Source organism: Homo sapiens, chromosome 4 (assembly GCF_000001405.40).
Source record: "Homo sapiens chromosome 4, GRCh38.p14 Primary Assembly".
NCBI lineage: Eukaryota > Metazoa > Chordata > Mammalia > Primates > Hominidae > Homo > Homo sapiens.
Window position 1 is genome coordinate 146,682,175 of NC_000004.12, and position 20,419 is coordinate 146,702,593.

The following is a 20,419-nucleotide window of genomic DNA, read 5'->3' on the forward strand; positions in this document are numbered from 1 at the left end:
TTAGAATAGTGTACACACTGAACTAAAATATTATGAAAAATTTTTGTCTTTTCCTATATCTATTTTTACCATTTTGATTTCAGCCAGATAGTCATATAATTTATTCATTTATAGCAATACCTTTTATGCCTGAAATAACCTTGTTTTTATTCTTTAATTCAGAATTCACCATGAAGCTCACTTTGTCCAAATCCATTTTGAAGGACTGCTCTTACAAAGGAGGATAAATAGGGAATGGGGTTTATCCCATTGGTTATGAGTGATGGTTGCCTAAGGGGCTGCTATGAAGTGTTGGAAGTGTCAGTGGGTTATAAGATGAGAATAAATCATCATTATCAACAGGAACAAGAGCATTCATGGCATGATTCATTGAGGGCCGTTATGTTTCATCTCTGTTTTTTGTAGGCATACAAATTAAAAGTTTGAAGATGAAGAATTTGTGTATGTATTTATGTGAATATGGCATAAAGTTCTGTCTAGGAGATAGATACTTGGCCTATACTTCTTTTTAGGGATACACCATAGTTGGTGTTAGCCTTAGTATTTGGCCAAAATTTTTGTCTTTGTGTCAGGCCACAGCTTTTGGAAAGCTGAGTAGTTCAACGCGTACTTCAAATGTCAGCTCTAAATGTTTGCAGGATCACTGATGTAAGTGTATAGGATAGTAGTGCATTAAATCAGCATTACACTGCCAATAGCATAAACAAGACAAATAATTCAGATTTATTGTTACTAGCTGAATAGTCACTTTCAAATATAGATATGTATTTTATAAGCACTTTTGAATGAAAAATATCTCTATATGCCTTAAATGTTGACAGTCTATAGGTTTGTTGAAACATAAATGTAAATGTTATTGCAAGAGTCAAATGCAGCAAAAATTAATGATGATTGTGAAAACTGTTAACTTTATATCCAAAAATTACCAGGCCATTTCAAATAATAAGTATATAAAGAAATAGATTTAAAGTAAAGGTTAATGTTAAGAGAGAATATATTAGCTAGATAACCTTAATAAGAATATTTATCTTATTAGAGCCAGTAAATATTTATAAAATTGAAATAATACAAGAAACAGTAATAGAAATCTTATCATTAAGATTACAATCTTTGGAAATGTTTGTCGTATTAACATTAAATTATCAAAGAAAATAACCTTCAAAATTATACTAGTATTTTGTAGTTATTTAGTTCTATTTAGGCCATGAGTCTTGCAGGAAAAAGTTCTCCATGGGAATGTTTCACATCTTGAAGGATGAATTAAAAACAAAATTAAGTTTGCCTTGTTAAAATTTCACAAGGCAGGAAAACAACCCAAATCATGTACAACAACATCTGTGATAAATCTTCTTTGATCTAGACACAACAAAGAATATAAAGAATAAAGGAGGAAAGTGTTAAAGAAAAATGAGGAATTCCTAAAATATCATGTTTCTCTACCAACCTCAGTTGAAAGAGTGTGTCTATTTAGTATCACAGATAAGCCGTAGCGTGAAAGCAGGAGCAGTCTAGCAGCTGACAGTACTGAGAAATGGTTCTTCCTCTATTATGTCAAATTTTCAAAATTTTACTGCTGGTTTTAATGATAAAATTATAATGAAATAATTTTTGGGTAACATTCCCAAGTTTCTTACATCTGAGAAGTCCAATCTCTGATGGTGAATATAGGCGTAGGTCTTGGTTTTGGCTGAATATTGATTTTAACATTAGTTCCTTCTGCATTATCTCATAATTTGTCCTTGATACACTTCTTCTTTACAACATTCCTCCTCCAATGTTTAATAAATAAAAAAGGAAGAGCTCACAGTCCTACAAATGAGATTGGACATACTTTCCCTCATGTTTTTCTTTGTTGTTTCATTATTTTTTCTTCTATGAAATGCTTTTTTTTGGGGGGGGGTATTTATATATTTTTCTTAGAGTTCTGTCTATGCTTGTTTTATAATTCATTTTGTGTCTTGTTTTCTTTACACTCTTGGTATCTTTTGATGAACAGAAGTTGTTTATTTTAATTTGTCAAATTTATTGATATCTTTTGTTTAGTAATTTTGTTTGAAAAGTTTTTTTCAAACCTGATGTCATAAAAATATTCTATAATTATCTGTAAAAGTTTTCAAATTTTGTTCTTCACATACAAGTTTTTGATCCATTTGAAATTATTTTTTATGTATGTGTTAAGGCAAGGATCTAATTTTGTTTCCATTTGAATAATCAGTTTTCCTGGTGCAATTTATTCAGTTGTCTGTTTCAGTAATTTTCATTGCTATCTCTGGCATCTCCGTGTGGTCCTGTTTTGGGCCTCTGTTCTATTCCATTGGTCAATTTATCTTTCCCTTTACCAATACTACATTTAAAAATTATAATAGGTTAATAATAAATCCTAATTTTAGTGCAAAAGTGTTTGCCCACATTGCCCTCTACCTCCTCCTTCCTTAACAGTGTCTTGACCATTCATTCATAAGCTTTGCTTTTTCTCATACATTTAAAATCGGGTTGCCAAATTATTTGAAAATTCTGCCATGATTTTTGTTTATTGATGTAATCTTTACAAGCAGTTGAAGACAGCTTTTAAATGTACAACTCAATGAGTTTTGAAAATTGTGTCACCTTACCTAACCAATATCCAATCAAAATATAGAATATTTCTATCACCCGGAAAGTTCCCTCATGCCCCTTTTTGAGTCAAGCCTCGAAGCAACTACAGTTCTGCCATCTATTCTGATAGATTAGTTTTGTGTTCCTGAATTTTAAGTAAATGAATTCAGTTCTCTTTTGTGTCTGATATTTTTCTCAACATAATGTTTTTGAAATTCATTCATGTTACTGAGCATACAAAATTTATTGATTTGATTCATTGATATATTCATTCATGTTTTGTAGTTTTTTTATTGTTGAGTATTATTTCATTGTGTGGATTTAGCACAAATTGTTAGTCTATTTTCTTGCTGATGATCATTTGGGCTGTTTCATATTTTTGGCTATTATGGATAAAGCTGCTATAGATTGTCACATACAAGTCTTTGTATGGACATACATTTTTATTTCTTTTGATAAGTACCTACAAGTGGAGTTGGAGGGTCATAGGGTAGGCATATGTTTAAATATATAATGAACTGCTAAACAGTTTTCCAAAGTGGTTGTAACATTTTTAATTCCCACAACCAATGCATAGTTGCTCCATATCCCTGCCCAATGTTTGGAGGTGTTCATCTTTTAAATTTTAGCCAATGAGAAAAGTAACATCTTGTTGTGCTTTTAATTTGCATTATGCTTATGACTAGCAACACTGAACACCTTTCCATGTGCTTATTGTCCATTCATAAATGTTTTGTGAGATGTCTGTGCAAGTCTTGCCTATTTATGAAATTGGAATGTGTGCCTTGTTATTAGTGAGTTGCATGACCTCTTTTTATATTCTGGATATAAGACCTTTGTTATATATTTGCATTGTGAATAATTTACCCCGGTCTGTGGTTTTAATTTTTATTATTTTTATTTATTTATATTTTTGAGATGGAGTCTAGCTCTGTTACCCAGGCTGGAGTGCAGTAGTGCGATCTCAGCTCACTGCAACATCTGCCTCCCGGGTTCAAGTGATTCTCCTGCCTCAGCCTCTGGAGTAGCTGGGACTACAGGCACGTGCCACCACGCCCAGCTAATTTTTTTCTATTTTTTTTCAGTAGAGATAGGGTTTCAACGTATTGGCCAGGCTGGTCTTGAATGCTTGACCTCAGGTGAGCTGCCTGCCTTGGCCTCCCAAAGTGCTGGGATTACAGGCGTGAGCCACCGTGCCTGGCCAGTTTTTAAATTTCTGTAATACTTAGTGTTCATTAACAGCTGAGGGCTGCTAGTTTTGATTGTCTGTGTTTTTGTTTATCTGCAAATGTCTTCAATCCACTCATTTGGGGTATATTCACTCAACAAAGAGTGAGTGAATATTTCAAACTTTTTTTGAAAGTTTTTTTTCCTTTAGTAGTTTACAAATGTTATTTGTCTCTTGGCTTCCATTATGTCTGATGACAAGTCTGCCATTATTTGTATTGTCTTTTTCTCTGACCACTTTTAGATTTGTTGTTTAACTGGTTGTCAGCAGTTGACTTTGACATACACACATGCTCTCTCCTGTACACTTATTTTGTTTGGGGTTCATGGAGAATGTTGGATCATTAATTTGATGTTTTCCACCACATTTGGCCAACTTTATTTTATTTATTTATTTTGTAATATATGTATATTTTGCCTTATTTTGTCTCTCCTCTCCACCTGAGACTTTAGTTACTATACACACACACACACATATGTATGTCTATATGTATGAATGTGTGTGTTTGTGTGTGTGTGTGTGTGTGTGTGTTATACCATTTTATATTGTCCTACAGGTCACCGAGTCTCTATTAATTTTTTTTTTTTTGAGATGGAGTCTCACTCTTGTCACCCAGGCTGGAGTGCAATGACGCAATCTCAGCTCACTGCAACCTCTGCCTCCTGGGTTCAAGCGATTCTCCTGCCTCAGCCTCCTAAGTAGCTGGGATTACAGGTGCCTGCCACCATGCCTGGCTAATTTTTGTATTTTTAGTAGAGACAGCATTTCACCATGTTGGCCAGACTGGTCTCAAACTCCTGACATCAGGTGATCCACCCGCCTCCCAAAATGTTGGGATTACAGGCATGAGCCACCGCACCTGGCCATCTCTGTTAATTTTTTTAAATCATTTTTTTCTCTCTTCTAGTAGACAATTTCTTTGATTTGCCTTCAAATCCACTATCACTTTCTTCTGTAGTCTTCACAATGCTGTTAAAAGAATTTGTGCCTTATATATTTTCCATTCTAGGACTTCAACTCTTTAAAAAAATAGTTTCTATTTCTCTGCTGAGATTCCTCATGTGTTTACTAATTATGACCATCTTTTTCTTTAAGCTCATGAATACATTTATAATATCTGCTTTAAAGTTTGTGTCTGCTAATACCAACATCTGGATCATTTCAGGACTGTGTCTGTTGCTTGCTTTTGTTTTTTAGTTTTGAGTCATATTTTCTTAATTTTTTACATCTAGTAATTTACTATTGTATGCTGGACATTGTCATGGTACATTTTTAGGATACTGGATTTTTTTTTTCTTTTAAAGGCCGTTGAGAATTGTACTTTAGGACACAATAAATTACAGCAAATACTTTTGGTCCTGACAGGTATGCTGTGATTTTTTTCCCCTTTATTCAATTGCTTGGGAAATTTACAAAATTTCTCATATGTGTGTTTACACACATCTATTTGCATGAAGTTGAAACATATTATACTACTTAAAGACATTTTACCATTCTTTTCTATTATAATTTTTATATAATTAATCTATTATTAATTTCTTTGTTAGTATAGTCCGTTTCCTTAATTACATTGTATGCCTCAGGGACTGACTTTTATGTTATATTTCTTTGTATAATTATGGCATTTGACACACAGCTGGCATTCAATAAGAGTAATAACTTCTAGTGAATATAAAAAATGCTTTACCGTGGTTACTCCAGTATTTCTTTCATAGCTAGTCTTACTCTACTTTTGAGTATTATACATTGAGTTTGTTAATTCATGCGCTCATATATCCATTTATCAATCCATTCAACAAATCTTTATTGAGGACCTACTATATGCCAGTTCCTGTGGTGATACTATGGCTACAACAGTGAATAAGATGAACAGTGTCCACATCCTCATAGAACTTATAACTAAACAGGGGAGACAAATAATAAACAAATAATCATGGAAAATAAAACTAGATCGTAGCTTATCATGAAAAAATAAAGCAGAGGAAAGGGATGAAGAACAAAGAAGTTAGTTATTGTGGTGATGATGAGGCATGTGTGTTTTTAAAAATAGGGTTGTGAGGAAAGTGTCTCTAAGTAGATGACCTCAAACTGCAGCAATTAAATAAGTGTATATAAACAGAATAAGGGGCTAATTATTAGGTGTGATTCCAGGAGCATTACAAAGGCTGCTGTCCCCCATAAATTCTTCTGAAATCCAGCTGTCTATACTTTGCAACTTTATCTTAAGGCTTTGTTGCCTTAAAATGCAAATCCTTAAAATGTAGTTATGACTTAAGTGTTTAAGTGTCAAATACTTTTGTGTGAATGAGCTTCAGATTTTTTTTCTGAAGAAGTGAAAATAGAGCAAAAACATAAGGAGTTAGCATGGTGTAATAGTTAGGAGCATATATTGCCAGGGTTTCAAGTTCTGGCTCTGCCATTTACTAGCTGTATGAGCTTGAAGTAGTTGCTTAATATCCTTATGCCCCAATTTCCTGAACTGTAAAATGGTGATAATAATAGTGCCTACCCTCGTATGGTTGACATGACGATAATACCTTGTATTTTCAAAATCTGTAGGGCCCCTGTCTATGAGAAGATTATCCATCCCTTCTTCATTGTCAGGTTTGGCCAAGTCACTTTTTTGGCCTGTAAAATGTTAGTCTAACTGCTGTATATAACTTATGTGCAGAAATTTCAAGAGCTCACTGCAGCCATTGCATGTTTCTGCCATTCTCTTTTTTCTCTCTACCATGAGAATGGTGATGTCTGAGATAGGGTTCTCCTCAACATGGATCCTGTACTGAAGAGGACAGGAAGCAGAACCACAGTCAAAGCCAACATACAATGTAGTGAGGAATAGATCTTTCTTGTTGTGAGCCACTGAAATTCAGGATCATTTCTTACTGCTGCCAGACTTATTGTAATCTTACTGATATAAATTGTTATTTCTAACATGCTTACAACAGTACCTGGCACACAGTGCACCCTAAATAAATAAACACATATCATCTTGAGGGAGGCTAGCTTTTGAGAAGAGAATGTAATAGAACTGTAAGACCGAGGCACCTAAACCAGACTTTCTGGCTACTTTCTGATTCTTTAATAATTTTGTGCTATAGAAGTAGGACACAATGATGTACCATTGTTCCTGATATCTGAACCAGATATTAGAAATAAGATGATGGAGTTGAATGATTTGCTTATGGGATGCACTGTCACTGTTTCCAAAGTATTTCTTATGGAGTCTTCACTCTCCAGTACCTATTTACACTTCTTAAGACTAAGTATTATAGGGTCTATTGAAAAATATGTACACAATGCTTATTACAGTGTTCTCACAAAACAATCGCTTCTTGATACTTGTTAACTAGGTAACCATAAGAAAAAATTAAATTGTTAATCTTGATGGTTTGAAAAAAAGGAGAGTTTCTGTTTATACTACATGTTATGAGAGCGACCATGGTTTTCCTAATCCCATTCTGTTTGCTTGGTTAGCTAAATTATTATACTAAATGCTAAAGCTTATATTTCCACTTCGATGTTTTAAAATTGGAAATATGGTTATTTCTAAGCTATTTTCCCATGAGTTAGCTGGGTAAAAGAAAGATGAAGAATGCTCTTTTTAAAAAATGCTTGTGTCTACTAAACTAACAACAAGTTTAAGAACACAGTTATGCACTGCATAATGATATTTTGATCAATGACAGGTTGCATATATGATGGTAGTCCCATAAATTTATCATACTGTATTTTTACTGTATCTTTTTTATGTTTATATATGGTTAGATACACAAATACTATCGTGTTACAATTACCTACAGCACTCAGTACAATAACATATACGGTACAAGTTTGTTGCCTAGGAAGATAAAGCCTAGATGTATAGCAGGCTATACCATCTAGGCTTGTGTAAGTGCACTCTATAATGTTTGCATGATGATGAAATCCCTAATGATACATTTCTCAGAATGTTTCTCCTTTATTAAGCAACTGTATATTAAAAGTTAATCATAGCAATACTCTTTACAAAAGAGTAGATTACTTGAAAATTAAATAAATTGTGATTAAAGAATAATGTTAAACTTGTACACTGTTGGTGGGAATGTAAATTAAGATAGCTATTATGGAAAACGGTATGGATGTTCCTCAAAAATTTTAAAAAGAACTACCATAGGATCCAGCAATCTCACTACTGGATACATATCCAAAAGATATGAAACCAGTACATGGAAGAAATATCTGCATGCTCATGTTCATTGCAGCATTATACACAATAACCAAGATGTGGAATCAACCTTAGCATCCATCAACTGGTGAGTAGACAAAGGGAATGTGAGATATACACACAATGGAGTACTACTCAGCATCAAAAAAAGGAAACCCTGTCACTTCAACAACATGGATTAACTTGGAGGATGTTGTGTTAACTGAAATAAGCCAGGCAGAGAAAGGCAAATACTGCATGTTCTCACATACGTGGAACTGAAAAAAGCAGAACGTAAAGAAATGTAAAGTGGTGATTACCAGATGCTAGAAGCTAGTGGTATGGGAAAATGTTGATCAAAGAACTCAAAATTTCAGTTAGATAAGAGGCATAATTTCAAGAGATCTATTGTAAATTATGATGACTGTATCTGCTAACAATATGTTATATGCTTGAAAATTGCTAGGAGGGTAGTTTTTAAGTGTTTTCACCACAAAAAGTAAATAATATGAAGTAATGCATATGTTAAATAGCTTGATTTAGACATTCCACAAGGTATACATACATCAAAACATCATGTTATACACTGTAAATATATACAATTTTTATTTGTCAATTAAAAAATCATGTTTAAATTTGCCTGAATAATTTCCCCTTTGAATCACTAAATAACATTAAAAATGTCTAAGTTCTTAGAAAACACTCTACAGATAGTCTGGAAATGGAACAGCTGGAGGAAGTTTACTGCAAACTTGTAATCATTTGTTTTGTACATTATTCCTTATTAAATGTTTACAATTATCTTTTAATTAAATGTCATTTAATTATATCCAAAGGTATGTTGTCATCAAGATTAATAAGGAAGAAATTTAACCAAAACCAAATGAAATATCAATAAACAAGTAAGAAAAAGTAGTGTCTTTGTTCTATTTTCTTATATTTTCTGTCTTTTTTGTAAACAGGGTCTCTATGTTGCTCAGGCTGGAGTGCAGTGGGTATTCAGTGGCACAACTATAGCAAATGGTAGCCAGGAGCTCCTGGCCTCAAGCGATCCTTCCACTTCAGCTATCCAAGTAGCTGTGACTACAGTCTCATGCCACTGTGGCCAGCAATATTTCTTTTTGACTGGAGACTGGAAGGCATCAATATTTTTTCTTTTACTTCCTAGTAATTACTCATTATATAGGTAAGCTTGGAAAATATAATATTTACCTGTGTGTCCACCATTTACCTTTATTAACTCTTTCTATTAATCTGTATTTACTTCAGTTAGGTATTTTAAAAGAAATGCAGTACAGATATAATTGCCGCCTTATGTATATCCCTCCATAATCCCATTTTTCTCCTTCCCTCTATAGAGGTAATCATTATTCTGAATTTGTTGTTAATTATTCTCAGGCTATTATATATATGTAAAATATATAGCATTGTTTTACATGTTTTGAAATTTTGTTAAAGTCATACAGTGTACACATCTTTCTGAAATTTTTTGTACACAATTATATTTTTGGAGATTTGTTCATGCTGATACATGTACCTTTCGTTCCTTCATGAACTGCTGCATATGATTTCCATTGTATGAATGCTTCCATGTATCCATTCTCATATTAATAGATATTTTCTAGTTTTTACTTACCATAAACTAGGACGTAATATATATTCTTAGTCTGTCTCCTTATGCATTTGTGAGACAGTTTCTTTGAAGCATGTTCTCAGAAATGGAATTGCTGGTTCATAAGAATCTTTACCTCTACTAGATATTGCCAAATTGCTCTCTAAAGTGTTCTATTTCTCCACATTCTCACCAACACTTGGGGGTTATTAGAATTTTAAATTTTTTGCCAAATTGGATGAGTATAAAATGTTATCTTTTTTAATTATGCATTTTCCTGATTAGTAACTGTAAGGGTATTTATATTAATATTTTATATTTTATTTCATTTTAATATATTATAAAATAATATTTTATTTTAGTATTTCATATTAATATATTTCATATTTTATTGGCTATTTGGTGTTCTTTGTCTATGAATTGTCTGTTCTTATACTTTGCCCATTTTTCTATTTTGTTGTCTTTTTCTTATTGATTTGAATGTTTTGTTCAATTCTAGATACTAATATTTTATTAGTTATATGTATTACAAACTGTTTTATATTTACTCTGTTAATGCTATGAGTTAGGAGCAGATGGGCATGTGTACCCAAACAGACTTTTGCCTGTGTGTTTATTACCAACTTGTTTGAGTCCGGTGAGGCAGATTATCTACATACACAACAAGCTACATGAAGCAAATTTATTACTTACACATAGGCAGCAAGGGACAACAGAAACGTAAGATTCAGAGTGAGCTGGTCCTCCAAGGCTCAGGAAATCTTCCAGGGTCACATGGAGTCTCAGCTGTGTGTGCCTTACTTGTACCACAGCTGAAGGACTCCCAAAAGCAGCCCACCCAATGTTATATACCCCAGGGGCAAGTTGACATGCTGGGCTAAAGCACTGAAGGACATCCTGTTTCTAGGGAAGACAGGAACAGAGCCCAGGCTGTGCCAGCCAGTCCCTCCCCTATCTCAGGATGTTGCATTCCTAGAACATTCTACAGTTATTCTTGAAAACTACAGCTAAGAAGAGGGGAGAGAATTGGGTCTATCCAAGGCCACCCAGAGAACTGTCCTGGCACTGTATTTAACCATATTCTTTTTATTGTTACTTTAACAAATACCAGCTTTATGGAGGTAAATTCATACACCATGAAATTTACTCTTTAAAAAGTGTACAGTATGGCCAGGTGTGTTGGCATGTGCCCGTAGTCCCAGCTACTTTGGAGGATGTAGTCCCAGCTACTCACAAGGCTGAGGCAGGAGGATTGCTTGAGGCCAGGAGTTTGAGTCCAGCCTGGGCAACATAACAAGATCCTATATCTAAATAAAAAGCATACAATTGAGGGGTTTTTAGTATATTCACAAGACTGTGCAATCAGCCTCACTATCTGATTTCAGAACATTTTCCTCACCCACAAAAGGAACACTACACCAATTAGCAGTCACTCTCTTATTTCCCTTTAAATCCTCCCTGTCCCAGGCAACCATTAATCTACTTTCTGTTTTTATGAATTGCCTATTCTGGATAGTTTTTGTAAATGAACTCATACAATACGTGGCCTTTTGTGTCTGGCTTGTTCTACATAACATATGGTTTTCAAAGTTCATCCATGGTGTATGTACCATGTATACAACATGTATATATATATTTTCAATACTGAATAATATTTCATTGTATTGATATGCCAAATTTTATTTACCCATTCATCAGTTGTTGGACATATGTGTTGTTCCACATTTTGGCCATTATGAATAACGCTGCCATGAACATTTATGTACACATTTTTGTTTGAACATATATTTTTAATTCTTTTGGGTAGATACTTAGGATTGTAATTACTGGGTCATAAGTTAACTCTATGTTTAACTGTTTTTTTTTTTTTTTTTTGAGATGGAGTCTGGCTCAGTCACCCAGGCTGGAGTGCAGTGGCATGATCTCGGCTCACTGCAAACTCTGCCTCCTGGGTTCATGCCATTCTCCTGCCTCAGCCTCCCAAGTAGCTGGGACTACAGGTGCCTGCCACTACGCCTGGCTAATTTTTTTGTATTTTTAGCAAAGATGGGGTTTCACTGTATTAGCCAGGATGGTCTCGATCTCCTGACCTCGTGATCTGCCTTTCTTGTCCTCCCAAAGTACTGGGATTACAGGCGTGATATGTTTAACTTTTTGAGGAGCTTCCAAACCTTCCAAAGCAGCTGTACCACTTTACAGTACTACTAGCAATGTATGACGTTTTAATTTCTCTACATCTTCTACAACACTTGCTATTATTCACCTTTTTTTCTTATTGCCATCTAAATGGGTGTAATGTGCTATTCCATGATAGTTTTGACTTGCATTTCCCCTGTGCCTAATGATATTGAACATCTCTGTGTGTACTTACTAGCTACTTATGTATCTTCTTGGGAGAAATATATATCAAATTATTGTTTCATTGTAAAATTGGGTTATTTGTCTCTTTAATTGCTGAGTTGTAAGAGTTCTTTATATGTTAATTTTCTTTATTTTAAGCATAAGAAAATTAATGTGCAGGGAGGTTAAGTAACTTGCTTAAAGTCATATAGGCAGTATATAAATGTTTTATACAAAACATGGCAATGCTTTTAGAATTAAGGGCACTATGAATTCACTGTAATTATCTGCTACTTAGAAATTTGTCAGGATTTTTGGCTTGGAGTCCTAGTGGCTACCATATCCCATGACAAAACGTTTGGATGTGCAGTATTGGGCATACAGTGAGTGTTGTGTGTTGTTGGGCTTATAGAGATTCTTCTTGACATGATTTTGCTAGTTCCGTCATGAGTAAGTGATTTTATGGTAAGAAATTAGACATCTAAGATGAATATTTCTCTCTGGGAATGAATTTTTTTCCTTATTGTTACTTAATAAGTAATTTCAGGTTCTAAATTTTAGTTTCAAATATATGCATTTATAAATATGTACTTTTTCATGAATCATGGATCTATAATTTCTTCCTTTTGGTACTGGTATGCTTTATGTTAAGATAAATTAACAAAATTTATTTCCTTTTCCTATACTCAGACTTACTGTACTTATATTTTGAATTGTCTATCTCTATTTTGGCTCTTATTCTTTAACTACTATCCATATTCTGTTGACTTACAAATTATTATCTCTAGACTGATCTCTATTCTGAATCCTGAACTTTCATGTCTAATTGTCTCTTTAACCTCTCCTGTAGGAAGTTTAATAAACATCTTTAAACTTGTGTCTAAAATAGAGCTCTTGATTTCACCTGCAAAGTTTGATCTTCTTGTAGTTTTTCTCATCTTAGTAAGTAGTACTGCTAATCATACTAATCACTAAGTTACTCAAGACAAATCTTTAGGATCTATCCTGCTGATCTTCCCCTTTGTTTTACCATGATCCCATCAGCAAGCTTATGGATTGTTGCTTAAAGTATCTTTTAAACCATTTGCTTTCGTCCATTTTCACTGATACTCTTATTCTTAGTGACTCATCTACACTCGCTTGGACTTCTATAGTAGCCTTCTAACTGGTCTTCAAGGTTCCACTTTTGCCCTCCTATAATCTCCTCCCTACACAACAGCCGAAGTTATCTTTCAAAAACAGATAAGTTCACATCTCTTCTAGGTTCAAAAGTTTTGAATGTCTTCTCATTGGTATTTAGGATAAAATCTGAATTCTTTACTCTGGTGTAATGACACTTATATGTATCTTAGTCCATTTCTGTTGCTGTAACATAATATCACAGACTGGGTAATTTATAAAGAAAAGAAGTTTATTTAGCTTATGGTTCTGGAGGCTGAAAAGTCCAAGGCATGGCAGCAGCTTCTGGCAAGGACTTTTGTACTGTGTCATATCATGGCAGAAATGTGGAAGGGCAAGTAAGCACATGCAAAAGAGGCCACAAGTGTGAGGTGCGCTCACTCTTACGATAACAGCATTAACCCCCTCTTAAAGGCTCCACTTCTTAATATTGCTACAATGGCAATGTTTCCAACACATGAACTTTTGGGGGTACACATTTAAACTATAGCAATCGGTACCTGCCTGTTTCCTTAATTTCATCTGGTGCTACTCTCTCCCACTCATTTATTGCAAGTACATGATCCTTCTTATATTCCATAGACAATTGAAACTCTTTCTTGCCTTAGAGAATTCACATTACTGTTCTCTGTGCTAGAATATTTCTTTTGGCTTTTCATACTGCTATCTTCTTCTCATCTTGCAGGTCTCAGTTTAAAGTTACTTCCTCAGAGATACCTTCCCTGGTGACCTTATGTAAAATTGTCCCTTTTCCATTTTTATCTATCATGTCTCCTTTATTTCTTTTAGGGTTTTATAACAATCTGCCTTGTTTATTTACTTATTGTTAAGACATTGTTTGTATCTTGAATTTTGGCTCCAGGGATGTGGGCTCTTTGGTTTTTTTCACTATAATTAACAATATTCTCAGTGCTAGGTGCTGAGGTGCTAGGTGCTATCATTATTCTCATTGAATAACGATAGTTCAGGAGATGTAATTTAAAAGCCAGAATAAACTTATAGCATTTTGACAATTAGGAAAAGTGAATAAATAATTACATTGGGAACCTTGATCTTAAATGAATTATGTCACGTTAAAAAGAAATTATAGCTTTCTACAATGCGTAAAGTGCACAAAATGAAGACTTTATTTTATGTGGCTTTGATGGTTTCCTTCCTTCCTTCATTTTTTAAAAAGCCCAAATTGAGCCTATATATATAGTTGAGTGGCAGATTTAGAACCAGAAACTTTTGGAGCTGGAAAGGGTGAAAAATATGATGTAGTTTATTTTATTGGTTAAGAAACAGAGGTTCAGAAATGAGAAACATTTTCCCCCAAGGCCGTAGATGGTCAATGGAGAGAAAAGTCCAGGAATTATTTTGTCTCTATTACATATTATTTTTATTTTGCCAATAATACTTGTTCATTAAAAACACAGAAAAATTTAAAATTAAATTAATATTATTTAAAATTCTATGTTTTAGAAATAATTAATGTTTTGTGATATGTTTTTTAGAAATTGCTTCTATGCATATTCAGTAATATAAATAAGCCAGTAGGAATTCCAGGAATTGCTCCTAGATATATTCACTAATATAAAGAAACCAATTCAACCCTACATGTTCATTTGTCTCTCTCTTGTCATTTTAAATAAACATGTCTTTTTTCCTCATTTAATAGTATTATAATATTCTTTTTTCTGCCATTAAGTATAGCACCAAATCCAGGGATGATATTACAAATATTTAATGATTACTACTTCAAAGCCACCAAACAATCAGAAAGAACAGACTGTGGCCTGGGGGTTTCCTGCTGTAGGAGGCATCAGTCCTTTAATTGCTAGATCAAAAGGTGGGACCGTGGTCTTCCTAGGGGAGGAGCTGGGAGAATATCCAGGACTGGGTAGGAGGTGGAGACCAAGGCAATACCTTGTTGACAAATGCTACAGAAATATTTCAATATTTAATAACTAATTTATATTTTTTTGAAAGGCAACCCAAATATCAACTCTATTATCATTTTTAGTTATTGTATTTTATTCCATGGTGCAATAGAGACTTTTAACATCCAAATTGTCCCACCTAAATCCCTGGAACTTGTGAATATGAGGAGATATCAATCCCATGATTGTATTCTGGTATATGGCACAGTTGGCTCTAAGATGGAGAGGATATTGTGTGGGCCTAATCTAATCACGAGTCCGGAAAAGCAGAGAACTTTTTCTGGCTGGTTGCAGAAGAGGAAGTCAGAGAGCTTTTAAACCTGAGCAAGACTCTATTATGTAGCACTGTTGCTTCTAAGATAGAAGGGACTATGTGAAGGAATGTGGTGGCCTCAAGTTGGTGAGGGTGGACCCTGGCTAACAGGCAGCAATGAAACGGCGACCTCAGTAACTGCAAGGAACTGAATTCTTCCAAGAACCTGAATGAACTTGGAAGCTGATTCTTCCCCACACTTGTCAAATAAGAACTCAGCTTGGCAGATACCTTCATTTTTGCCCTGGGAGACCTAAGCAGAAAACCTAGTCAAGCCTCCTTGGTCTTTTGACCTACAGAACTGTGAGATAATAAGTGGGTATTGTATTAAGCCACTAAATTTGTAGTAATTTGTTACAGCAACAATAGAAAACAAATGCACTTGCTAGGAAGGTACTATAGCTGATTTGACCAGTTATTTTATATTGGGTATTTAGGTGGAATCTAAGTTTTATCTCTTTGCTTTATTTGTTCTTATGCTAGCACAAGAAAGAAACTTCAATAAACAGCTTTTTACCTTCAGTATTTCTCATTTGTCTCTTTATTTCCTAAGATAAATTCTTAGAAATGAAATAGCAGAGTTAAAGTGTTTTTAAAGGCTTTTGGTGCATATTGTCAAATTGTTCTCTGATTTTTTTTTTTTAGTTTACATGGCTACCTCTTTTTTTAAACCCACTTTTTTTTTTTTTTTTGAGACAGAGTCTCGCTCTGTCGCCAGGCTGGGCTGCAGTGGCGCAATCTCAGCTCACTGCAAGCTCCGCCTCCCAGGTTCAAGTGAGTCTCCGGCCTCAGACTCCCTAGTAGCTGGTACTACAGGCACCCACCACCACGCCCAGCTAATCTTTGTATTTTTAGTAGAGATGGGGTTTCACTATGTTGGCCAGGATGGTCTCGATCTCTTGACTTCGTGATCCACCCACCTCGGTCTCCCAAAGTGCTGGGATTACAGGCGTGAGCTACCGCGCCCAGCTAAACCCACCATTTTAACACCAGTTATTCTTTGTAACTTTTGATAAAATGATAGGTAAAAGATTAGTGTTACAATGCTGTTTTAATGGGCATTTCTCTGAAGACTAGGGCCTGTACAACATGTTTAAATGTTTAGGGATTGTAGGCAATGATAAACTTTTTGTTCTGTAAGGCCATATTTACTCAGGCTGGTAAATTATAGATTGTTCAAGCAAATAACTAGTAAAAGGTTTTTTTGTTTTTGTTTTCTTTTTTTTAAAGTATTGAGCCAGGCACAGTGGCTTATGCATGTAATCCCAGTACTTTGGGAGGCTGAGGCAGGAGGATCGCTTAAGGCTAGGAGTTCAAGACCAGCCTAGGCAATCTAGTGAAACCCCATCACTACCAAAAAAAAAAAAAAAAAAAAAAAAAGAATTAGCTGAGCATGGTGCTGGTAGTCCCAGTTACTCAGGAGGAGGCTGATGCAGGAGGATCCCTTGAGCCCAGGAGTTCAAGGCTGCAGTGAGCTATGATCATGCCACTGCACTCAGCCTGGAAGACAGAGCAAGATTCTGTCTCAAAAAAAAAAATTGAGATAATTTGTATATACTCAAAATTTTGGAGAGAATTTCTTAAATCAATTGCAATATCATAAAATGTATAGCTATAATTCTACAAAGAAGTGTTATTTGATGTAGGACTTGAGAAGTTGTATACCAAAGCAAGATATTTGGAAGTACAAAGCAACTTTTAGTGAAGTACTAATTAAATCTACATTATTTGTGTCTTTTTTTCTTTAATGTTCAGTCAATTCAGATAATTTTTAAAAATCTCATAATCATTACATGGTCACATTACTGTCTAGGGTATACTTATCTATAGGGTGTGTGTATGGGAGGCAGAGAGAAGATAAATATCAATAGTAACAATGGTAATATAATACATTTCATTAAAAAATCTGGGTAAAGTAATATTGGAAAGAAGACATTAAAGCCTTTTGCTTTAATAGAAGCTATGTTCATTACTTTTTCTAAAGACTTCCTATATTTCACCTTTAAATGTGGATCTTGAAAGTTAACCAAATATGTCTTCTGTATTTTGACATATACCATCAACCCTATGTAGAAATGTATATCACTACCCTGGGAGAGGAAAGGAAGGCCCCCTAGAAGGGAAGAACTGGGGCACGGAAGAAAAATACAAGGGCCTTAACAATTAGATCAAAATATATTGTCCAGGATTTTTTTAGTGTTATATAGTGTGGGAGCACAAACATACTTTTTTTTTTTTTTTTTTAAGAGGCGGGGGTATCACTCTGTCACCCAGGTTGGAGTGAGTGGTATGATCACAGCTCACTGCAGCCTCAAACTCCTGGGCTCAAGCGATCCTTCTGTCTCAACCTCCCGAGTAGCTAAGACTATGGGCATGCACAAGTATACATGTGCTAATTTTTATTTTTAGTAGAGGCGAAGTCTCCCTATGTTGCCCAGGCTAGCTTTGAATTCCTGGGCTCAAGCGATCCTCCCTCCTCGGTCTCCCAAAATGTTGGGATTACAGGCATGAGCCACTGCACCTGGCCCATGTTTGTTGCCTATAACCTGAGATGCACCCTCCGCCCCGCCCCCGGCCGCCACCACTACCATCTTCAGGAATCTTATTACATACAGTATGAAAACGAGAAAAGGAATGATGCCTTAGCAATTTTTCAAAGGAGAAGCTAAAAGCTAAAGTAATTATAGTATATTATAGAATGTTGTATTTTAAGCACTGTCATTTTGATAAAAATGGAATCAGGGACCATTGTAAATGCTTACATGTTCTCAGTGAGTGGTCCTGGCTACATTATTTATGGGAGGATCTTTTACAGATAAGAACTAGCATTTGATGCTATTGTGATTTGCATCTATCATCCAGAAAACCTTGATTTTGTTTTCAGATTTGTTTTCAGTTTCACAAATAAAAATGAATCAAATTGAAATTTAAGGAGGAAGCTCCTAAGAAACCTTTTTGATTAAATCTATCAGAAGGGATAGCACTGTGGCCATTTAGCATTTGATTGTAAATTCCAGTTTCTGTTGACCTTGCTGACAGGTTTATGTTTGATATATCTAATTTTCTGAAGTGTTTTCAAAGATGTGGGCATTTTGATTACAAATATTCTCACAAAACTTTCCAGACATCTTTTTAAGGAACCTGAAAACTAATTTAAGAAGACACTACAGCAAAAAGCAGTTCTTATAGAGGAAAAAAGAAGTATTTGTTATTTGAATGTGAACTTCGAAGCTAAAATTGTTCTTATAAAAGGAAATAAAGTTTTCTCATGGTTAAACTAGTTTTTAGAGTGAGATGAGATGGGGCATTTGTAATGTAATGGTTATGGTTAAAGAAACATTATATAACAAAGTAAGAGCCTGGTGCGGTGGCTCACGGCTGTAATCCCAGCACTTTGGGAGGCCAAAGTGGACAGATCAACTGAGGTGAGGAGTTTGAGATCAGCCTGGCCAATATGGTAAAACCCCATTTCTACTAAAAATACAAAAATTAGCTGGGCTTGGTGGCATATGCCTGTAATCCCTGCAACTCAGGAGCCTGAGGCATGAGAATCGCTTGAACCTAGGTGTTAGAGGTTGCAGTGAGCCGAGATCCCACCATTGCACTCCAGCCTAGGGGACAGAGTGAGACTCAAAAAACAAACAAACTAAACAAAAACAAAAACAAAAACAAAAAATCAAAGTAGGAGAATCTTTAGTATTTAATATTTTTTATTGTTAAAATATACATATATTCATGTATGTGGGAAAAATTTAAACAATACAGATGTATATAAAATAAAAAGTGAAATTGTCCCCAACCCTATTCCCTAGAGATAATCACAGTTCATTTGGGGTTTAGATTACTCAAGATGTCTTTCTATACACATATAAACATATACATAACCACAAGCATGCACAACTACATTATACACATACAATATGATCAAGCTGAATCTACACTATAGCCATTCGCTTTTTGTTTTATTTTTTAGAAGTCAACTTTATTGAGTTATAATTTACATAGTAAAATTCATCCTCTTATATGTACAGTTCAATTAGCTTTGACAAATGTATGAAGATACACAATCATAACCATAATTCAGATATAGAATATTTCCTTATCCCCCAAATTTCCTCATATTGTTTTATAGTCAATCTTTTTTCCTCCAACCCCAGCTCTTTGCAGCCACTAGATCTAATTTCTGTTCCATAGTTTTGCCTTTTTCAGAATGTTATATAAATAGAAATTCTGTGATTGGCTTCTTCTACTTGGCATAATGCTTTTGAGGTTCATCTTGTTACATTTATCAGCAGTTGCTTCTATTACATTGTTGAATTTTATTTCATTCTACACATGTACCACAATTTGTTTATCCATTCACCAGTTGATGGACATTTGGGCTATTTCTGGTTTTGACTATTATGAATAAAACTACTATAAATATTTATATACAGGTGTTTGTGTGGATGTATGATTTTATTTTTCTTTGGTAAATAATTATGAGTGGGATTCCTCTATCATATTGTGTGTATTTAAGTTTATATGGAACTGCTAAACAGTTTCTAAAGCAGCTGTACAATTTTTCATTCCCATCAGTGATTTTGAGAGTTCCAGTTGCTCCAAGTCCTTATCAGCCCTTGGTACTGTCAGATTTTTAACATTTTAGCCATTCTAGTAGGTGTGTAATAATATCTCTCTCTTTTTTTTTTTTTAGATGGAATCTCGCTCTGTCACTGGCTGGAGTGCAGTGGTGCAATCTCAGCTCACTGCAACCTCTGCCTCCTGGATTCAAGTGATTCTCCTGCCTCAGCCTCCAGAGTAGCTGGGATTACAGGTATGCACCACCACACTCAGCTAATTTTTGTATTTTTTAGTAGAGACGGGGTTTTACCATGTTGGCCAGGATGGTCTTCATCTCTTGACCTGGTGATCCGCCTGCCTCAGCCTCACAAAGTGCTGGGATCACATTTCTCTAATGTGCTGATCACATCATCTCTAATGATGCTGAGGATCTTTTCATGTGCTTATTTGCCATATGTGGATCTTCTTTGGTGAAATGCCT